The 3,353-nt window shown below is 60.2% G+C and overlaps 1 annotated feature.

Annotated features, from left to right (window-relative positions):
* Nucleotides 2,146–3,059: an enhancer, noted in NCBI's record as "H3K4me1 hESC enhancer chr5:51413-52326 (GRCh37/hg19 assembly coordinates)". NCBI's record gives its function as "activates a minimal SCP1, AML or CMV promoter by ChIP-STARR-seq in naive H9 embryonic stem cells {active_cell/tissue: H9 hESC(naive)}" and the evidence as "EXISTENCE:reporter gene assay evidence [ECO:0000049][PMID:30033119]".

Below are 3,353 nucleotides of genomic sequence, written 5' to 3'. Positions count from 1 at the left end.
CCCTTCCTCTTCCTCCTCCTGGGTGGGGTCTGCAGTCTGACCAGGCCCCTCTCGCACACAGGAGCGTGGGGGCTAAAGCAAGTGGAAACAGAATAAGGCAATTGGGGTTTGGGGGGCTGGGGCGGTTTTTGGTTGTTCGTCCTGGACGTAGCCACAGAGGAACTGCTTTCTAGGGGACTCACCAACTTTAGGGGCTTCCCTAGAAGGCGCGGGAGCGTAGGACCCACGGGGCGCTCAGCAGTCGGGCCAGGGTTCCAGGGCTCCCGGTTCCGCGCTCTCCTCCCGCAGCGCCGGGCAGCAGGTGAGTGTCCCGGGGAGCAGCGGATCTCCGGCGTCCCCAGGCGCCGCCCCCGGTCTCAGCAGCTCAAATCCTCCCTCTGGAAACTTCGCGCTCCGCCCCCTCGGCCCCGGCCCCCGGGCCCGCCCCTCTGCCCCTTTCTCTTCCCCAGCCTCCTCCCCGGTTCCGGCGCTCGCAGGAACGAACCGCCCCGCCCGTCTGCGCGGCCGCAGCGTGGACTCCCCGCGCCCCCTCGCGGAGTCCAGGACTGGGGCGACTACCCCCCATCTGCTCGCCGGGCGCAGCGCGGTTACCTGGGCAGCAGCTCCGGGCACCGAGGTCCCCTTCACGTTTCAGTTCCTGGAGCTGCTCGGGAACCGCGCGGGGCCACACAGCCGGGAACGAAAGCCCGGGCGGAGACTCGGAAACCTGGGGGTCCTCCCCGCCCCGTCTCCTCCTCCCCCTCCGCCCCCGCCCTTCTCCTCTTTAACACCCGCCTCCCCCTAATTCCCCGCCCCCGCCCCCTCCTCCCGCCGCCGATGCCGCTGGCCCTCGGACCCCCGCAGGGGTAGGAAGAGCCTGGGCTGGGCCCGCCCGCCCCGAGCGCTCCGAGGTTCTCATTCTCTTTGCGGCGTCCGCTTGGGCTCGCGAAGCCCAACCCCAACCCCCACAGCCTGCCTGAGAAGGGGACTCGGGGGCGGCAGTGAGGCGGGGGTGGGGGGCGTTTTGCGCAGCCCCGGCCGCAGGGATTCTGACCTTGGAGACACAACAGCGAGCAGAGGCGGAAAAGACCCTCGGGCCCTCCCGCGGCCCAGAGGTCAGCCGAGGTCTGAGGCAGGTGGACGGTTTCGTGCCCGTCCCCGGTGCGTGGGACGCCCGGCAGGACCCGAACCCGCGGCCCTGAGCCCAGCGCGGGTGGGATCCAGGACCGGGTCAGCGCGGCGTCCCCGCCCTTGCCCGCTCTCGCAGCAACACCCCCCAACACACACATACGTTTTGTTCCCGCGTCCTTGTCTCCACCCGGCGGTCCCGAACAAGTTCTGACCTCAGGTTAGGGGCGAGCCCTTCCCTCCGCCAGGTGCGGAGGCTGGAGATGAAGAAGCCGGGCCCCAGGAGCCTTTCCGGAGCACCCTCACCTGTGCGGGTGGAGTGGGGGCTGAGGTGGAGGCGCAGTAGTGCTAGGGCCAGGCTTCCTGGTGTTTAGGTAAACGCCATTTCCTTAAAAATAAACTTCCAGCCTGGGCAACGTAGTGAGACCCCCTTCTCTACAAAAAGTAAAAATAAAATTAGCCTGGCGCACCTGTGGTCCCAGCTACTCCGGAGGCTGAGGCGGGAGGATTGCTTGAGCCCGGGAGGCGGAGGCTGCAGTGAGCCGAGATCGCGCCACTGCCCTCCAGCCTGGGCGACAGGGCGAGACCCTGTCTCTAAAAAAGAAAGGAGAACAAACTTGAAACTCTGCTCCTCTGGGCAGTGAGCTTCGGGAAGCCCCTGTCGCCCTGACTGTCCCCCGCCACGCATAAAGGTCTATTTCTTGCCGAGGAAGCGTTTCAACTGCCTGCTTTTTTTTTTTTTTTTTTTTTTTTTTTTTTTTTTTGAGACTGAGTCTCATTCTGTTGCCCAGGCTGGAGTGCGGTGGCGCCGTCTCCACTCACTGCAACCTGTGCCTCCTGGTTCAAGCGATGCTCCTGCCTCAGCCTCCTGAGTAACTGGGATTACAGGCGTGTGCCACCAAGTCCAGCTAATTTTTGTATTCTTAGTAGAGACGGGGTTTCACTATGTTGGTCGGGCTGGTCTTGAATTCCTGACCTCAGGTGATCCGCCCACCTCGGCCTCCCAAAGTGCTGGGATTACAGGTGTGAGCCACCGTGCCCGGCCTCAACTGCTCTTTACGGACCTAAAGTCTCTCCATTGCGGTAGGAACTTAAGATTTGTTGAAAATAACATAGTTTACCTGATAACATAGTCCTGTTTGAGGTTGAAAGACGTTTATTAAGGCCATTTTTAATGCTTTTTTTTTCATTCTTGTTAGCAAAACACAGTGAAGAAGTAGAGACACTTAAATTTTCCAAACTCTTTGTCCTCACAAGTGGCTCCAAAACGAGCACATTTTCAGAAAGGAACTGAAAAAACATTTTTGGTTTTATACCTTCTCTTATTTCCAAAAAGGATTGGTCAGTTTCAAAACTGCCAAAGGCAACGTAAAATAAAATGTAACAGAAGGTCAGTGACCCGCCATGGAGTAGAGCGGGCCGTTTCCCCCTTGTCCTTTCAGAATCCACCCAGGGACAACTTGAACGGTAATAGCGGAGACTCGGCTGCAGCGAAAGGAAGGGCTGCCCACACCGCGGGTCTACACCCAGACGTGGGAGACGCAGCCGGGACCTGCTCCGGAGTCTGGGCTAGAGAGGAGGCGAAGAGGGAGAAACAGCGTGTGGACCAGGCGCCTCTGCGGGAACCCGGCAGGACAGAGGCGCGCAGGGGCCATGGGTGCGATAAGCGCTCACACGCCTCGCAGGAGCAGGGCGCACACCTGGAGCCCGCTCAGCACCACCCACCCCGAAAGATGGAAGATTTAGACAAGCCGGAAGGAACCGTTCACTCATACCTAGAAAGAGTGAACGAGGAACCAGCCCAGGAAGAAAAGAAAAAGAACAAGGAACCAAATACACAACAAAAATGGAAGTCAGAACAACACGTGATAAAACGTTGTCATTGAGTAGATGGAAATGACGACTTAACGTTAACGCATTGCGCATGGTTTAAGAGCCGTTTTGAAAACGGGAGATGATGAAAAGGAAGGAAGGATGAAAAAACAGACTTTCAGGAAAAGGGGGGAAGATATAAGATCAGTGGGGTGCTTACCATGGAGCCACAAAAAAACAACCAGAACTGCAGACCAGGGAGATGCCCCACCCAGGCCGGCCCCTCCGAGCCTCCGCGGGGATACTACGGCCCCGCCGGGACGGAGAGGGCGAGGCCGGGGGAGACTGCGTCCTGCAGCGCCGCGCCGCCACCGCCCATCTCTCGCCGCGGGGGCCCTGGATCGGGCAGGTCCCCGGGAACCGGGCAGCTGAGG

The sequence above is a fragment of the Homo sapiens genome, chromosome 5 (assembly GCF_000001405.40).
Source record: "Homo sapiens chromosome 5, GRCh38.p14 Primary Assembly".
Taxonomy (NCBI): domain Eukaryota; kingdom Metazoa; phylum Chordata; class Mammalia; order Primates; family Hominidae; genus Homo; species Homo sapiens.
Note: the sequence above shows the minus strand (reverse complement) of the source record. Positions and strands in the feature narration are given on the sequence as shown.